Consider the following 19,348-nt stretch of genomic DNA (forward strand, 5'->3'; position numbering starts at 1 on the left):
AGAACTGGAATTTAGATTTTCTTAATGCTACTAATAAAGCCTATTTTCAATTTTTCTTTTAAGTATTTTTCTCCAAAAAATCTACTTTTAATGTAATTTACTCAGGTGTAACGCATTTCCAAATTTTCTTCCATGCTTTTCAATTTTTTTTTTTGGTCATTACCTTTCCATCCTCAATTCTGCCACTCTTCTCCAGGCCAGGTGACCTACTTCTATGACTCCTACTTCCATGAAATAACTGTCAATCCCTTCTTGATGGTATATTCTGTTTGAGTTGTCTGAAAGCACTATGCCTTCAGATCTCCCAAAGTGGCAAAGATAAGTGTTCTTTTCAAGTGATGACCTTGTGAATTCCTGCCTGGCTAGATTCTTGACCCAGTGTCTTTCAAAATAAAACTTATTCTGTGTTGAAATTTTTAAAAGCATAATTATCACTTATTTATTGGAATCTAATCTTAGAATTAAATCACTTCTGTTTGGGGGTGGTGAGTTTTGCTAAACTGAATGAGCTATGATTAGACCTATGAAATACAAATCCTACCTATACATAGAATTAAGAAGTATGGTTGAAATTATTTTTGAAAATACAATCTGCAAAATTACTTCAGTCTTCAGCTAATATTTCAAGTCCATTTTGAGTTAGATTAATTAACTTAAATTTAAATAAAAATGCATCCAGAGCTGCTGTGCAAGTAGCCGAAATGCATGAATATTTTTTAAAAATGTAATTAAGAAAGCAAAATACAGGATTTGGTGAGGAATGAAAATACCCATATTCCTAAAGTTGTAAGGATGAATAAATTGAATAATTACTTTCTAGTATTACATGAATCTTGGGTATTTTCAAGAGACCAACCATTTGGCAATCCATAAATTTTCTAGCATCAACGATGCTCAATATTTCCCCCAAAATAGTTCATGACTCATTACAATTTGTTACTATGATCACCAATGACGGGGGAAAAGGGTTAGGAAGTTAATAACCTGTCCAAATAATAACAATTAGATTATCCTCCTGTGTTGCTAAATCACACTGCATGGTGGTATGTTAGATCCAACTAATACAATAAATGAATCACTTGCCATCTAATGCAACTATACCAAAGAGGTCACTTGAAATTTGTCAGTTTTCAAACACTAAATTCAGTTTTTCTTGTAAGTTCCTGAGGAAATTAGCAAAGGACAAAATTGTATTTTTGGTTTCTTCCCCTTCTACACTGATTGCACCTTCTGGTTTTTTCTTTGTTGGCCCTTCTTTGTGTGAGCTTCCTTATCAGTAGCCCTTACCCCACACTAACCCCCCATCTTCAGAATGACTAGGTTACAGTAATTGCTGTGAGAAAATACAAAAATGAGCCATGTGTGGTGGGGCATGCCTCTAACCCCAGCTACTTGGGAGGCTGAGGCAGGAGAATCTCTTGAATCCGGGAGGCGGAGGCTACAATGAGCTGAGATTGCGCCACTGCATTCCAGCCTGGGCAACAGAGTGAGACTCTGTCTCAAAAACTAAATAAATAAATATCCAATTTTTTTTGTTAATTTAGCCTAATTTATCAGAGTAGCAGAATGTGCCTTAGGCATTAAAATGAACCTGGTTTATGGAATATAATGCTGAAAGCAATAACATGATTTAATTATTCCAATTCTAGTTCTATGTCATCTCTGCTAATTAACTCAAATCAGAGGGGCTAAGTTAATGTAAAACAAACAAAATATAAATATACATATCCCTTACCTCCATCTCCAAAATAGAAGGAAATAATATTTCTAACTTCTTCAAGATTCCATAACATTCCACAGATATTCACATAATTTTCTTCTATTATGTGTAAGAAAAGAGTAATTATTCCTATATAATATATGCTTCTACTAAATCACTGCAACTTAGATTCTGCACATAAAACAGCCTATTCTTTCAACCTTATTACTCTCTAAGTATGTTCAATAGATCAGAATCTATCTTCAGAAGAACCATTCAATTAACAGTCTCACAAAAAGGATGAAAGCCAAAGAAAATTTGCAGCAATCATTATTGTAAATTACTGAGAGAAGGAGTTTAGAGGTTAGGAGAGGGGACTGTATATTGAGATATTAGTCTTTATCGAGCCACTATTGAATTTGTACATCAGTTAACCTCTTCAAAATCCAGTTTTCGCCTCTATAATGAAGAGAATAGATTGCATATTTCCTCTAAAGTCTTGCTTTCCATCAAAAGAATCCATCTCTAATGCTGAACTTGAAAAAGCTGACCAGAAGAATATGTCCAGTTGGTATCTTCATTTAGCAGCAACTTTATTTTACTGTTGTTGAGATCCTCTATCATATTCTTAAAGGGAAGATCTTTGAAAGAATTAGAATGTTTTTCCCTCCAAACTCAAATAAACATCTGCAAAGCCATCTATTCTCAGCAGATAACAACAAACATACAGTATTTTTAAAATTAAACTTTGGGTATGTTGGCCACCTGTGACTTTGATTCACATTCTGTATATTTGCAGCAGCTGACTTGAGTTATAACCAAAATCTGAATATGAGCAATAGCCAGAAAAGGCAGGTTTGTCAGTCTATGTCCAATGTCACCATTGTATGCATTTTCAAATCAAACCCAGTAATGCCAATGCTGCTCTTCTGAATCTCAATAGAGTCTTGTCAGAATCTAGACAAGAGTCCCTGATTTGTGCTCCATATGTACCAGTACCAAATAGGGCGAACTTTAAGTAAGTATGGAAATGTTTTCCATATCTTTTCTGAATAGCAAGAGAAAATAGAGCAAACACAGTAACTGACAACGTGCTATGTATAAAGGAATTCTTTTTCGGGGAAGAATGCTTCATAGTTGGTACTATATGCTTCATAATGCATCACTTCAGGAGGCAAACAATGTCTCATTTTAGTGATATGAAGACTGATCAAAGAGTTCATCTCAAGACAGCATGATAATTCCATTAAATTTTTCATCAATTTTATATGAAGTGTTACTTTTCATTTAAATCATAATCAATTATTTTATTTATTGCCAAATGGCATTTTTATAATTCCATCATTCTTTTCATATTTACCAACTGGAAGCCTTCGATAAAGAGCATTTCTCATCAGTTAGACTGTCTATTTACCCTTAATTGCAGTTTATATAGGAAAAGAACAGGAAATTCTTAATTTGTTCTTTCTAACCACCAATTTTGAGGGCAAAATATTGATGTCCAAATTACCTCTATAGTACTCAAAGTGTTGATGTTTATTATTGCTACGTATTGTTGTTTATGATTTCAGCACCTTTAATATTGTTATGAATTCATGGTCAATCATAAAAAACTTCTATAAATTATATTTACTATTTTTTCTCCCATACATTGCCCCATCTTCGGCCAATTAATACAATGTGTTGAAACACATTGAAAAGTATCTTTAAAGTCACTCAAAATCATTTTTTTCTGTGAAATAATGCTACCAACCTGATGTACAATTAGCTTCATTTACTTCTGTTTCAATTTTTAGTTATTTATTTTTATTAATTTGATTTAATGTTATTTTTTAAAAATAAAACATCTAAATTTTCAGAATCAGATATATATATATATATAAAACAAGGTATAATCAGAGAAGTCTCATTTGCATTCCTTTCCCTCCTTCCCATTTCTTACAAAAGTAGAGCAAATGATATAAACTCTTCTGACATTTTATTTGTTCAGATAACAAGAAATCCTGGAGATCACTCATGTCAATATATAGAAATCTTTTTTATTCTTTGATGCCTGCTTAGTATTTTATTGAATGGATGTAGCATAGATTATTCACCAGTCCTTAATTCAAGAACATTTGAGGTTAACCTTTTGCATTTATACATATGCTACAAATAATAACTTGTGCTTAAGTCATTCTGGCCAATTTTTGTCAATTTTTTGAAAACAATTTCTAAAAATTAGATTAATTAATCAAAGGGTAAATACATCTACAATTTTACTGAATACTGCCAAAGCATTGTCCATTAAGGGCTGTAGCATGTTGAAACCCCATCAGCAATATATGATAGTTTCTGCTTCCACCTGTCCTCCTGAACAGATTTACGTGGCTTTTTTATTTTTGTAAATCTAATGGGTGACAATTAATATCTCATTACAGCTTAAATTCTTATTTACTTTATTATGTATTAATCTGGGCACTTTTTCATAAGCCCAATAATCTTCTTTTAAGAAACAAATATTTCTTATTGTATGCTCTATTTACATCTTTTCCCCTTTCCTTAGGGAGTTGGTCTTTTCCCTTTTGATTTACAGGAGTTCTTTGTACATGACATTAATGGAAATGTCTTTAGTAATTCTTTAATTTATCCTTTGTTTATAGAGATTTTCTGTGTTTTATTTTGTGTTTTTTAAAATAAAAATCTATTAATCGTTTCTCTCATTATTCTTTATGTTGCCATGATTAGAAAATATTTCCCACACCCAAGTTACAAAGGAATTCATCCATATTTTCTTCTAGTTATATGTGACATTCATTTTATTATGTTGACATCTGTGGTCTTTATTGTAGAATTTATCCTAGTATGGAAGTGAGATATGAAGATGTTTTTATCTTTCTCAAATGACTAACCAGTTACACCAGCATTGATTACAGTCAATCCCAGTTTTCATGGATTCAGTATGTATGGATTTAAGTTTACACAGTTTAGTTAACACTGTCCCCCAATAACATGGCTAAAGTTTCCGTTAACACAGTATATTAGCTGTAATTACATAAAGTACAAGCTTTGCTGCTAGCTTACAAGCTACTATATAAATAATAGAAGTACATCAAGAGATGCACATCTTGATCAGTGACAAATCACACTACTTCTTTCAAAGGCTGTCAATAATTGGTCACTGTACATCTATTATTAGGTTCAAATACAACAGCAAAATGTATAGTTGTGCTACCCTCATGTCTTCTTCTATTGATAAGTCCTGGTGATATTTTACAAAAATGGATAATTGAGAAAGAATTGGCCAACAAGGATGAAAATGAGATAGAAAAGTGAAAATGCTGTAAGTAAATTTGAATCAAACATAAATGGAGTTATAGAAGAAATAGCTGACTGTGGGAATGGTGACATTTCTGTCAGTTGAGAGATTTCACATACACAGCCAAAGGTATTTGATGACATAAATGACTAATATCATTGTGATGAAAAGTATGAAAATGTACCAAAAGAACTGATGCCAGAAAAGGAAAATCACATTAGAACTCTCAGCGATATTTTGTAAGTTATATGCCAATAAGAAGAAGCTTAACACTGTTAAAAACTACTCTTGATAAATGTTTATAAAGAAATTCAACTTTCTCAATGTTTCTAATGTCTTAAGTTAGTGTACTAAATAAATATTGCTTTTACTATTTTTTATTCCTTGGTACACTTATAACCCACATTAAGAGAATTTTTAATGCTTTGAGAAAAATACTTTTAAAAACCATGCAAAAATTATCCTTTTCCCACTGACTACTAAGATTGCTTTGTTTGATGTTAGCTTCAACAGTCGTTTTTAATGTTCCCTACTACCGTGCAAAGTGAAAGCTGCTTGTATCAAAAATTCCATCTTTTCCCCAGGGATTTGCAATGCCTGTTTATATAACATACTACATTTCTGCATGTATTTGAATATGTCGTTTGAATTCCTATTCTATTCCATTGTTCTGTTTCCTCACGCATCAACACATATTTTAAATTATAAAAGCAAGCTCACTGACATTGTTTTTTTTCTTTTTCAAAGTTTCTATGGCTATTCTTCACAAATAATCTTGTTTCATAATATAAAGACATTTTTACTTCTTCCTTTTCAATCTTTCTGCTTTTTATTTTTTTCTCCTTGTCTTGTTATAATGGCTGTGAATTCCGGGATAGTATTAAATAGAGGATGAGAGTAAGCATCCTTGCCTTGTTCCTAATATTAAATAAAAAGTCTTCAATATTTCAGTATTAGGTATGATGTTAACTATAGAACCCTCTTCCCCACTGCCCATGCTTGTTCTTTATTACATTAAAAAGTTTCCATCTTTACTTAGTTTGGTGAGAATTTTTATTATGAACTGTTGTTACTGCATGAATTGCTGTTATCATGGCTATTATTGCTTGCTTGTTTTGCTATATCAATTTAATAATCATTTCTAGTTTAAAACATTTCCAGAATTCTGTTAGAATTATGTTAATTTATAAATTAGCAGTAAATGCATATATTTATGATGTTGAATCTTTAGTTGGAAACATGATAATTTAATCTTTTTAAAGTACAGTGTGTAATTCTCAGTAATGTTTTAAAGTTAAGGCTTTTTAAAGGTATTGTTATGTTAAGGCTTTAACCAGGTTTTTAACTATTTTTCTTTTTTAACTATTTTTGCTTGCTATTATAAATGAGACTTTTCTCGTATTTCTAACAGGCTATTGCTTGTATACATAAAGACTAATAATTTCTAACTGCTAATTTTATAACCTTCTCCTTCACTAAGTTCCCATAGATAAAAACAATTTTTTTCATAGATTCTCTTGGATTTTTGAAAAGTTCAATCATATCATAACAGCTGTTAATAATACTAGTTTTATCTCTTGCTTTTCACTATTTGTCCTTTAACGGATTTCTCTAATTGCATTGGATAATAGCTTCAATGCCATGTTAAGCAGATGTGCTGATAGTGGGCTCTCTTGTCTTTTGTTGGAAAGTCTCTAGTATTTCCCCATAAAGTAATATGCTGGATTCTGAATTGCGTGTAAAATTTGTAGAAAATGTCGTCTGAGATTTTTTTTTTTCTGTTACTTATAGTTAATCAATTTTGTTTTAAGGAGATTTTTAAAAACAACTACTACCAGAGTCATATCACAGAAATTCCTCAAAGGTTAATATCACAGAAATTCCTCAAAGGTTAAATAAATGATTTAGTAAGAGAAGCAGAGGAACACACACACACACACGCACACAGAGAGAAAAGCGTGCACGCGCGCGAGAGATATATTAGTGAGGAGATAGCTTGCAGGAAGGAAACAGAAAAAGAGGGGTTATTCCGTCTATTAATCAAAGATAATAACAAATGGAGTACTGTTAATGTGTGCACCATCAGTTAATGCTGGAAGAAGCAGCATGAGAGGGAAATTTCCAAACCAAATATGAAGAACTTCATTGGGAAAATCAAATAAGAACTAATATTCAAAGTTCTGTATTTAGATTAGTCTAAGAGCCCGTTTGATGCACTAGGTAACCTAGAGATAAAATTGACCATATGTGAGGGGGAACTCCAGTCTTTCATCCTTGGAGACATATTCTAGGCTCAGTTGAAACTTGATAATGAATAAGTTATTTTAAATCAACTAAGAAGAGACTACAAATATTAATTTTCTATTTGTTCAACTCTGCAGCTATTCAATCTGGATAATTTTGCCATCTCACACTCAATACCTCAAACTTAGTAGAAATGCTTTCTTCTTCTAACTAAAACTCCTAGTTCTAGTTTCTAGTTCCTTCCTTCAAACCGTTTTAGAAGATACATGACATCTGCCATGCTAATCATCAAAACTCTCATTCATAAAGGGATGGCAAATATTTTAAAGGCACGTGTAAAACAAAATGGGTTTATGATCAAATCAGAAATTTTCTCCTCTCCATAATCCCTGCTGGGTTAATAATCCTACTAAATCAAGGATTTGTGTGACAATAAAAGTTTATATTGGTTTGAACAAACACCCAAGTCATTCTGAGATCCAGCTGCACCACACCTCAGTCAAGCAGGTTGCTGTTCATTGCCTCATATGAGCGGATGTACCCAAAGAGGAGAAAAACATACAATCTCTCCCCTATCATGCTGTGTCAAATGTATTATCAGTGCCTTCTGCATTTTCCTAAATTCAAGATTGCAGGTTGCATTACAACTCCTGTTATACTGTTTGACTTTAGTTAATTTTTTATAATTTGTAAGTAAGTTTTGGAAATGCTGATTTTGATCATTGAAATTTTCCCTTTGCATTTTTATGTATGGGCATGATATGGATTCAATCATAAAATTATTTTGCTTTGCTTGAGGGAAGTAGTATTATATGTATATATCTATATAATAATTTCAACAGAGAATTTTGCTTTGAATACTGTATAGACCAGCTTGGAGATATGGAAATAATACCTAAGAATTGAGATGTGTGAGTATCTTTTTTGATTGGATACTAAAGCCTCTGCCTACCAGTCATCTACTGTGACTACTAGATGTTTGGAGAAAGCCAAGCAAGTATGCAAGCAAACTTTGTTTTCACCTGTAAGCCATGTAAACCAGGGGGATGGCTTCTCCTGGGATTGTCTCTTCAAGGACTACTTTGCAGATGCAATAATGTTTGCCAGACAACTGCTCCTGAGAGCTAAGTTTTAAAATCTTTTCTACTTTCTATTTTTGTTTTGTGGAAAAGATCCAGACAGCCAAATATTTGTGCTGGAATTATTTCCTTGTCCTGCTCCGGCTGAACACAAAAGCCAAGAAAACATTCTATTTGCTTGCTCCAAAGGAAACATATATAGATGACTAAATGGCAGGCACTGAGCTATATGAAAAACAAAGCAGTTTATGTGACAAAGGAGAGAGTGAGACAAAGAAAAGAGTAAGAAAATAAATCTTTGTCTCACTATTTCACTTGAAGACAATATTAAATACTCAACATTTTTAAACCTTCCTATTAGTTTTAGGTGACCACCTTTGCAAGAAAATATAATATTTCTGTGTTCTCCAATACACATTTCTATTTTAGTTTGAGATGGTAGAAAATACAACCACGAGCTAGTAGAACACCCTCCCATTCCCCCAACCCCCACCCAACAAACCAGCAACAACAATAACAAGAAACGATTTTCATATACACAATGTTCAGAACTGTTAGATAAATATTCCAATTTTGAGCTCTAAGTACACAGATGCTATTATCCTCTGATTTGAAGAGTAAATATTTTTCCAAACTGTCTTATTTGAGAAAGAAAATTACGATATAGATGCAATTTTGTGCTTACATCATTCTACACTGTTTGAAAATAATAAAAATAGCCTGTGTTAGGAATTTTTTAACCTTCTACATCAAGTTCGATGCCTTTCTTTGTAAGTACCTTATTAAATAAAATAAAAGCCTCTGAGATCCAGGGAATGACTGATCTAGGCTTGGGGAAGGAGGATCATGAGGGTTGCTGATGAGATTGCTTATCAAGAATACTCTCCCTATTTGGAAACTGCCAACATAACTATTGGTAGGACATCTCCAACTACATGCTCAAGATTTTAACGAGTGAGGTCGGTGTGAAGAAGTGTGAAAAGCACCTCCCAGATAAAATTGAAAATGGAGGAAATCCTTCAGGATGAAAGACAGAACATTACAAAAAAAAATGAAGAATTCTCTCCTTCCTCTAAACAACTAAGGCACTACATTAGATAGGAGTGGTGCAGGGACAAAGAAATGCTATGTAGGATTTTATATGGGAAAAAGGAATTTCAGCTATAGTAATTGGGAAACCACTGGATTAGATAGTATATGTGGTCTCTTTCAACTGTACAGTTCTGTGATGTAGGTATTATATGAGCAGAATGTTTACTGCAGTATTATTCATTATAGTGAAAACTATTGTGCCCTAGGCAGAACATCATGATTGTCAGAATAATATGAACATGTACATGCTTATCGTCTAGGCTTTTCATATGGTTAGACATAAGTGTCCTCTTCATTGGCCCTTGTCAGCCTCAAGCCCTTTGCCTGGGAGGTGTCTGGTTTTGCTGAGAGCCCAGTAATTTTCCAATGGGAAATTTTCCTCTTGGGTAAGCAGCCCCTGATTGATATCACCAAGTCACATCATCTCTCAGAAACATTGTTTCAATGGGAAAGAATTTGCAGGAAGGAGAGAAATTAAACAAATGACTAGCCTAATAATATTAAAATCTTAAAAGCCCACAGAAAAGGAAAATAGACCAATCAAGAAAATGCCATGATGGTACTGTTTGAGATTACACGGAAGTCTGATGGCCTGATGTCCTAACATCCTAACCCAGGCAATCACCCAAAGCAGCAGTTAATTAATAGTTGTCAATATGAAGTGAAAATCTAGCGACAGAATTTTGTCTATTTTAATGGACACCTTACATTTCCTTTTCTTCAACCAGGCATGGTTCCTGTTTTTTGCAGGGGGAAATTTGGTCATCCACAGACTAATACTTCGTGAAATTATACCCGTCAGACTTTATTTGGAAACAGGATCTGTCAATCTTGCTTGTGATTTTTATGCTTACAGAGAATCTTCTGCAGAACCACACTCTTCATTCTATTAATGACAGATTCTAACAGGTGTTATTTTCTTGTCAAACTTTTCATTCCTCTCGTGACTGTTAGACAGAGACCACTTCCAAACTCAATTCTGAAGATTCACAGTTTGTCTTCTATTTTTCCACCCTCTCCTCTCCCTACTCCCACATGAATCTTCAGATTCCTTTCTGAAGTGGATATTCCGACCTTAAACCTTCATTCTATGTCTTTCTATTGTCCCAACTTCCTACAGACATTTTGCAGTTTGTATTCTTTCTGTCTCCATGTTAAAAATTTCTTTTCCTTCATAACCCTAAACATGATGTATTAGGTGACACCCTTCTGATAGTAGTTAATTCTTTATAAAATATTAATGTCTTTCTTTTCCCAGGCTATAAACATTTTCTAACCTAGACTCGTGACTTTAATTATGGGAATGACAGCCTCAGTGGCATTCAGGTAGGAAAATACTTTCAAAAAATCACTAAAACTATTCACCCAAAGTTGTGATGGACCTTCTTAAGGTTATATTTGAGATTTTTCTCCCCTGTAGGAATCTATCATGTAGAATAACTTTTCTACTAAACCATTTTTATAATTTATAGAGTGTTTCTTCCCAAATTGAATAAGTTATTTGGCAAATATCTGGTTTATATATAATGATGATAAAATATTGATTTGGGTGACCCTTCCTAAAATGGACTTTTGTCCCAAATTATCCAACTTGGTTGTACTCACACCTGAATTTTTTACCCAAAGTGCAAGACTTTTCTTCACTTTTAGCATTATAATGTGGCTTGTGCAGTTTTGTTATTTTTTTTTTTTTTTGGAATTTAGGCTGCTACATATTTGCTAATATGCCTTATAAGAATGTGGTCATGCAAAGTAATAAGTCTACTGAAAGATTTCCAGGTTGCCATGAACAAGAGGCATTGCCTGTGTATGTACACAGGCAACACAGCTTGATCTAATCTCATTAAATCCACTCTGTAAGGAGGAGTTGTTGCATCACTGCCTATTAGCCTCTCTTAATTTTCATCAGACACACACTGGTAACAATTGTTGGCATAAAAAATTCCCCAAAGCAAAAAGTCTATTCTGTAGGTATAATTTCATTAGGAAGTTACATGTAAAACAACAAAATCGTAACATATGTTCTATTATTTACTAACATCCATTTGAATATTTCATCCGAATAGTTCAAAGTGTTTAAACAGTTTTAAAATAGATAGAAGTCAAATTTCCCTTAAGAAATCTATTTTAAAATATTATGAGCACATGTCTGGTGTGTTTACAAGGAAACTAAGTTATAGTATCTACTAGTTAATTGATCTTAAATTTGATGTATATCTTATCATATCAAAGGTAAATTGAAAAATGAATATATAACTAGTTCATCTTTTTATCTTTGGATAAATTTTTCTCTAGACTCGTGACTAAAAAATAATTTTCATGATTTTTGCTCAGTCTGTTTATTAGGGGACTTAGTACCCTTACAAGTGATTTACTCAACATGGACAATTATGTATATCTTAAGCATTCCTATTCACATATGTTCTGGGACTTTCTGAAAGATAACCTCATGCCATGTTAATTAGACCAAAATTTAAAATCCCACCAGAAACATAATGTCATGTTCCCAAAATTCATCTCATTTTCTTTCTTGGAGTATGTACAAAAAGACTTACCATGCTTCTACATGCAGTAATGAGACTTTTAGACAAACTAATCTTCAGTTGTTTGTTCTTGGTGTCTAAGGCAGCTTTTGTCTAGAAAACTATTAACCTCTTTCAGCAGTCCCAGTAATGCTTCAATCACTCTTGGAAGGCTTAATATGAACATAACTCTGTGTGTGTGTGTGTGTGTGTGTGTGTGTGTGTGTGTGTGTGTGTGTGTTTGTGTGTGACTGATTCCTTCAAAAATATTAAAAAATCATTAAGTTGCTTTGTAGGAAGTTGGATGAGAAGCAGCTCCATGAGCCTCCGGAAAGCACAGTGATCTCTTCAGAGGGGATTATAGTGTACTCCCTTCTGATATTACGTAGCAATTTATATCTCTTTCTCTTTGGCACTGCTATGTAATTTCCACTGGAATTAGATTTACAAGTTAGTTATTTAGATTATTTTGGTGGTATACAATTAATTTTTTTTATGTTCTCTTGTTTTTGGTAATTTTTGTTCTTTGATTTTTTTGGATTTGTGGATGCTGATCTAAGTTAACTCCTATAGTTATCAAAATTCCTTAGGATAATGTGGTAATCTCCTTGCTGCATTTTGCATTCCTCTTCTTCAATTTAGGGTAACTGGCCCTTGAGAATAAATGGACACGAAGCTTTTAGGTATTTTTCCACCTCCTTGCATTTTCTTTAGCCTTGAGTTCAACCCAAATTTTGCATTTGGTTTGGTCTTTAAAGTATTTTGCATTCTTGGGTTAGGAAGACTGTGAATGCTGAATAATGACTCACTCTCCTATATTCAGGCTTAAAGTATTCCAATTAACTTCATCTTGAAAAGACAGAAAGTGCACAGCAAGGAGATTTCTAGATCTCCAGAAAAATCTTCAACCTCTGCATTGACTCAGTATAGCCATCTGTAATGAACTAAGGTTCAGAATTTTAAAAAACATGGCAAGGCCAATTCTAGTTACTGGGTAAAGCATATAACTTTCTGGAAATATAAAGGCATGACTCCATGGCTATATCTTAGGGTGATACGTACACTTATGAGATTTGTCATTATAGCTATTAGAGAACTCCCAAAGGAAATCTCTATAATGAGTTGTTTTCTATGCTGTGAGTGTATTCAGAGAAGAATAATTTACTCCTTTGGGATGTTTCTGGAAACTTTCCTACACTTTACTATTATGGCAACCACAACAGTTATTATAATTTTGTTCTTTCTTTTCTTTGGGGCTGCCATCTTTTGCTCACCCAATATTGTCAGAAATAGCAATTGCACTTTTATGTCTTTGTTTCATAATTTTGTCTTCAAAGCAGATTCAAAGAAAAAATAGACGTAGAATTTTCTCTTGCCCAATAAGTCTTTCCCATCCAATAAAATAAATAATGCTACTACTCCCTTGATATGCTGTGTAAATCAACTTCAGAAAATTATATTATCATCTTAGACATGAAATTATGAAGCACAAAACAAGACCTGTTTTAAGGAAGAGGAACTAATTATATACAAGGATGTGCTTGAAAGTAAGCAGCAATCATGAAAAGTTGTTTGTGTGTTGCAATCGAATCCTTCTCAGTTTCAATGAATTTAGAGTTTATTGGCACCCACATAATTTACTCTGGAGATAATGATATAACAAGCAAACCATTTTATTTTCTCTTTCTTAGCTGAGTGAATATAGTTAACAAAAAAATTTTATCTTAACCATAGAAAGAGTCTGAGAATGAAATTTCTCTTTTCCCCAAAAGATGTTCAAAACCTGAGATATTGAAAGAGAAAACCCGATTATTTCAAATTAGTTGTTTTCCAAAAATTAAATAATGGGTGAATGGTTGATTTTAGGATACACAAGATGGTATGTTACAAGGATTAGTCGTTTTTGTCAGCTTTGCTATTTTTAGAGTGGCTTAAATTAAGGTATTGAATATAATTCTTACAAATGATGGCACAATATTAAAAGACCAGTTAATTTCATAAGATATTATAAGAATTCTCAGTTTCGCCGGAGGTTTACTGTGTCGGTGTTCCCTTGCGCGGCGTGAATCTGAGGGCATCGTGTTGAGGAGATGGGGGCTGCGGTGACTCGCGGGATCAGGAATTTCAACCTAGAGAACCCAGCGGAACGGGAAATCAGCAAGATGAAGCCCTCTCCCACTCCCGGTTACCCCTCTACCAACAGCCTCCTGCAAGAGCAGATTAGTCTCTATCCAGAAATTAAGGTAGAGATTGCTCGTAAAGATGACAAGATGCTGCCATTTCTAAAAGATGTATATGTTGATTCCAAAGATCCTGTGTCTTCCGTGCAGGTAAAAGCTGCTGAAACACGTCAAGAGCCAGAGGAATTCAGATTGCCCAAAGGCTATCACTTTGATATAATAAATATTAAGAGCATTCCCAAAGGCAAAATTTCCATTATAGAAGCATTGACTTTTCTCAATAATCATAAACTTTATCAAGAAACATGGACCGCTGAGAAAATAGCGCAAGAATACCATTTAGAACAGAAAGATGTGAGTTCCCCTCTTATTTTGTTACTTTTGAACTCAAAATCTTCCCTCATGAAGACAAGAAAGCAATACAATCAAAATGAAGAAAATCGCAAAAATTTCCTATGTGTACTCCTCATCCCTCATCCTGTATATTATCTCATTTTTTGCATGTTAAATTATGTTAACTACCAAATGTTTAATTCTCTCATTGTGAGAGCATATTCTTAATATTTATTGAGCTTCCTGACTTTTCAAGATTGCCATAGAATGTATTTTGTTTTCTTTTAATTTGGTTTGGGCATATTTCATATGTACATGTCAGCATGACTAATCAGCACATCTGTACATTTATTATAAGTAAAAGAATTAATTTGTTATTTTAGGCACATCATACCAACTTTTAAATTGATCATATGACCCCTTGGGAAACGTCCCTGAATCCCTCATTTAAGTTTTACTTTCCAAGTTAGGTGTTTAGTTCATTCTTCATATGTGATAGTGAAAGTAAAAGCTTTCCTGACTCTTAAGACTGACATTTTCTTGTTAGGGAAAGAGATACAATAGAAAGGTAGACTAACAGTATTTCCCAAATAAAGGCACACAGTAGAAAGCAATGAATCTATAGAATCTAGTTAAAATTACTACTCCAGGGAATAAGAAGTACTGAGGATTTATTTTATTTTGAATTGGTTTTAAGTATAGAATAATTGTCTTTACAGTTATAAAAGGTAATTAGCGATATTTGCAAAATGTTGAAAATTTCTGCTTCAACAAACAAATAGGTAAGTCCCATGGCCTTCAGAGAGGCAGGCAACAGCAGAAATTTTCGAAAAAGTAACATTTTTCTGGATTTAACATGGAAATAGAAAAATTTAAAGAATAATTAAATCCAAAAACCATGGTAAATGAAATTTGGTGATTATATATAGTTTCGGATGTTAATGCTAGTTGAGAGAAGAGAGAACAAATAGCAAGTAGAAGCAGAGAAGAGGATCACTGGAAGGGACCTGAGAAATTGCCACTTCATCCATTTTAGCAAACTTATTAGCACGGCATGTATCAGTCCTGGGATCTGCGTGAGAGTGTGTGAGTTTAGCTCCGCCTATGACATTACTACTTGTGGGATCTTTGGCAGACTATATCCTCTTTAATATTGAATTTCTTCTTTAAAACAAGAATAATGCTACCTTACTTAAATTTAAGGGTTATCACGAAGATAAATGAAATAGTAAAGGACTACAAAGGACCAAGCAAATATGAATTTTTTTTTTGCAGTGGAGAAACAAGCACCTGGGGAGAATATATGACATAAGGTTTCTGTAGTTTATGACCTAACCAGGCCCAAAACTTAGTTTCTCAAATCCTGGTAGTGTGTTTTTTTCTTTTGTGCCTAAAAGCAGCACACCTCAGAGAAGGGAAAAGGTATAAATTGTGGTATATTGGGGTTGTCAGTGCTTCTGAGGGAAGATAGGCATCATTACTTCCCAGAGATGCCCCTGGAAATGATATAGAAGATGCTGAGGAATTCAACATGATGACGGAATGAGGCATTTGTAGTAATGCTGAGAACAGAAAAATAGACTAAGTGGAAAATGTGTAAGCATGTCTTTGAATGTAGATTTGTTATGTGAACAAACTACTAGTTAATTTTTAGTTCAATACAATAATTGTTTTAAGAAAGCATGACATAAATTCTCAATATAAAATGCATTTTAAAACTCCTGTAAATCAGTCAAAACTTTATTCCTTTTATCATAATGGTCACTAACTGAGTCACTAACACTAGTAAACTATTTCTGAGCCATCTTTTCTACTCATATCTGCATTGTATGGTTAGGCAGCTGTTATGTGGCGTCACATGATAAAATAAAGGACTTCTTCCCATACCATTAAAAAAAAAAAAAGAATTCTTAGTTTCACAAGAGACTTCTGAGAGACTAATTAAGAAATTATCTCAAATGTATTATTGAACAAAATAATTATTTATCATAAGTGTTACCACAAAGACTCTAACCATTAGGTATAGATGCACTTTTCTGAATGTTGAAAGATTGATTGTATTAACAAATGAAAAAAATCATTTATTTCATTTTATTTCTGAAGAGGAAGTAGTCTCTCCTTTGGCATTTCTTTTTTGCTTCCTAGTCAGATTTAACTTGAAGTCAAATTAATTCAAATAAATGAAAATAGTTAATAGTTAAACGTCATACAATTAAAGCATAAGGGAAGATAGCATGAACAATGGATACATGAAGGATTTGTCAATGGAACTTTTGTTTTTTTTTTTTGGAGACAGAGTCTCACCCTGTCACCCAGGTTGGAGTGAAGTGGAAGCATTACAGATCACTGCAGCCTTGAACTCCTGGGCTAAAGCAATCCTCCTGCTTCAGCCTTCTGAGTAGCTGGGACCACAGGCATGCAGCACCATGCCGGCTGATTTTGTCTATTTTTTTGTAGAGACAGGGCTTCACTTTGCTGCCCAGGAGTTTGCCTGGTCTCAAACTCCTGGGCTCAAGTGATCCTTCCACGTTGGCCTCCCAAAATGCTAGTATTATAGGTATGAGCCACCGTGCATAGCCAGTGGAATTTTTTAAAAGGCTATTGGAAAATACAAATTTAAAAATTGGTACAAATGAAGAAAGACTTTCTTGGCTAAATTTACATGAATCTATATACTATGGAAGCACATGTGATTTAATGATTTCAAGGTAAAATGTACCATTTAATTACACACATTTGGAACTGGAACTTTCTAACACCCTACCACCTCTGTAGCTATGTAAACTTGCTATGATGACTAAAACAGTTTGAATCAATACAGGTGAATAGCATCTACGTTTTTATTTGCTTATCTATTTATATTCTGTCTCATCCATTTGACATAAACTTATTGAGCATGTGCCATATGTCATACTAATCCTTTTTGGTTTCAATTAACTTTGAGAGTGTATTGGTACTCACATAATTTACTCTGGAGATAATGATATAACAAGCAAACCATTTTATTTTCTCTTGCTTAGCTGAGTGAATATAGTCCTCCTGTATTAGGCGCTAGGGGAGAGACAAAGATCAATAAAACACAAACTTACCCTTCATTAGCTCACAGAGTCACTGGAGAAAGTAACATGTAAATAGTATCATAAGAGCAATAACAGAAGTATGTATAAAAATCAGTGTTCTTACAGAATAGGGGTTGATTTGCTCTAAACAAGACCAGGAAAGAATTAATCTGAGCTGGGCTTTTTCTTTTTTAGTTTTAGTTTATTGACAATAATTGCATATATTTATGGGGTACAATGTGATGCTTTAATAAATATATACATTTTGGAATGAGCAAATCAAGCTAATTAACATCTCTATCGCCTCCTATACCTATTGTTTCTTTGTGGTGAGAACACCTAAATCAATTTTTAGCAATTTTAAATATACAATATATTATTATTAACTATAGTCATCTTGCTGTACGATAGATTACCAGAACTCATTCTTGGTGTCTAACTAAAGCTTTGCACCTTTTGACCAACATTTCCCCTTTTCACACCCATTCCCTGTGCTCAGCCTCTGGTAATCACCATTCTACCCTCTATTTCTATGAGTTCAAATTTTTATATATTTTTACTTTTATTTTTTTCATTTTTAATTTTTGTGGGTACATGGTAGGTATATATATTTATGGGGTACATGAGATGTTTTGATACAGGCATGCAAGGCATAATAATCACATCATGGAGAACGGGGTATCTATCCCTTCAAGCATTTATCCTTGGAATTACAAACAACCCAATTACACTCTTTCAGTTCTTTTTAAATGTACAATTAAGTTATTATTGACTATAGTCACCCTGTTGTGCTATCAAATTCTAAGTCTAATCCATTCTTTCTATTATTTTTGTACCCATTAGCCATCCCCGCCTGCCCCCTACTTCTCCCATCCTTCCCAGCTTTTGGTAACCATCGAGTTCAATTTTTTAGATTCTACATATAAGTGAGATCATGCTTCAAAGCATCATTAACAGGAACTGACAGCCAACTGAATCTTGAAAGGCCTATGTGAGTGTGACAGACAAAACTTCAAGAAGGTGTAGGATGAAAAAATGCATAGAAACATGGAAATAAATTGGTTTATTCAGTGAGAGAGAAAACATAAGAAAAGAGTGTCAAGAATAGACCCCTGGGAATCACCAGTATCTCAGGGAACTAAGCAAATAGAGAAAGAGGCGTCAGAGAAACAGAAAACCAGGATAGAGCCATGTCTGAAGCCAAGGGAGGAGAAAATGGTCAGAACGAAGTAGGCAATATCTCAATGCTGGCGAAATGGCAAATAAGATAAGCTTAAAAATTATCTGTTATGCACAGCATTAGGAGACCAGCAGTGTTTTTCCAAGGGCAGTTTTAGGAGAGTGAAGAGGGCCAGGTCGCTAACTTCATTTCCTGTTTTTAAAGAAAACTGAAGATAAAGATAAGACATCCACCATTAGAAATTTACTCAACTTCTATTTAGGGACCTAAAATATAAGTACATTTATTATATGAGTTAGCCCTGTGCTACTACACAGTTAGCATTATGCAGTGGTAACTATAAATAGAAAGGATAAGTTTTGACGGAGGCTGGCAGAGGGGTAATGACAATATGGGGCTCTCTACAGATAAGAGGCCCCAAGACTGAGAAAGGGACACTGTGGAAACTGTATGAACGAGTATAATATGAACTTTACAATTTCACTAAGTGTAATCGAGCATAAGCACAATCTTTATAAATGAAAGCACTTGGGGATTACTCTATTTCGAGGGTGACATTCTATCACCTCTAAACAGGGAGAATGCTTTTCCATCAGGGCAGTTCCATGAAAGTTGAAACAACTGACATGACAGAAAAGAGAAAATTTGGAAAATCAAGGATG

The 19,348-nt window shown here is 33.7% G+C and overlaps 1 pseudogene; it reads left to right on the forward strand.

Annotated features, from left to right (window-relative positions):
* Positions 13,961–14,748, forward strand: NDUFAF4P2 (NADH:ubiquinone oxidoreductase complex assembly factor 4 pseudogene 2; annotated as a pseudogene).
* Positions 14,749–19,348: the final 4,600 nt, after the last annotated feature.

This window comes from Homo sapiens, chromosome 7 (genome assembly GCF_000001405.40).
Source record: "Homo sapiens chromosome 7, GRCh38.p14 Primary Assembly".
NCBI classification, from domain to species: domain Eukaryota; kingdom Metazoa; phylum Chordata; class Mammalia; order Primates; family Hominidae; genus Homo; species Homo sapiens.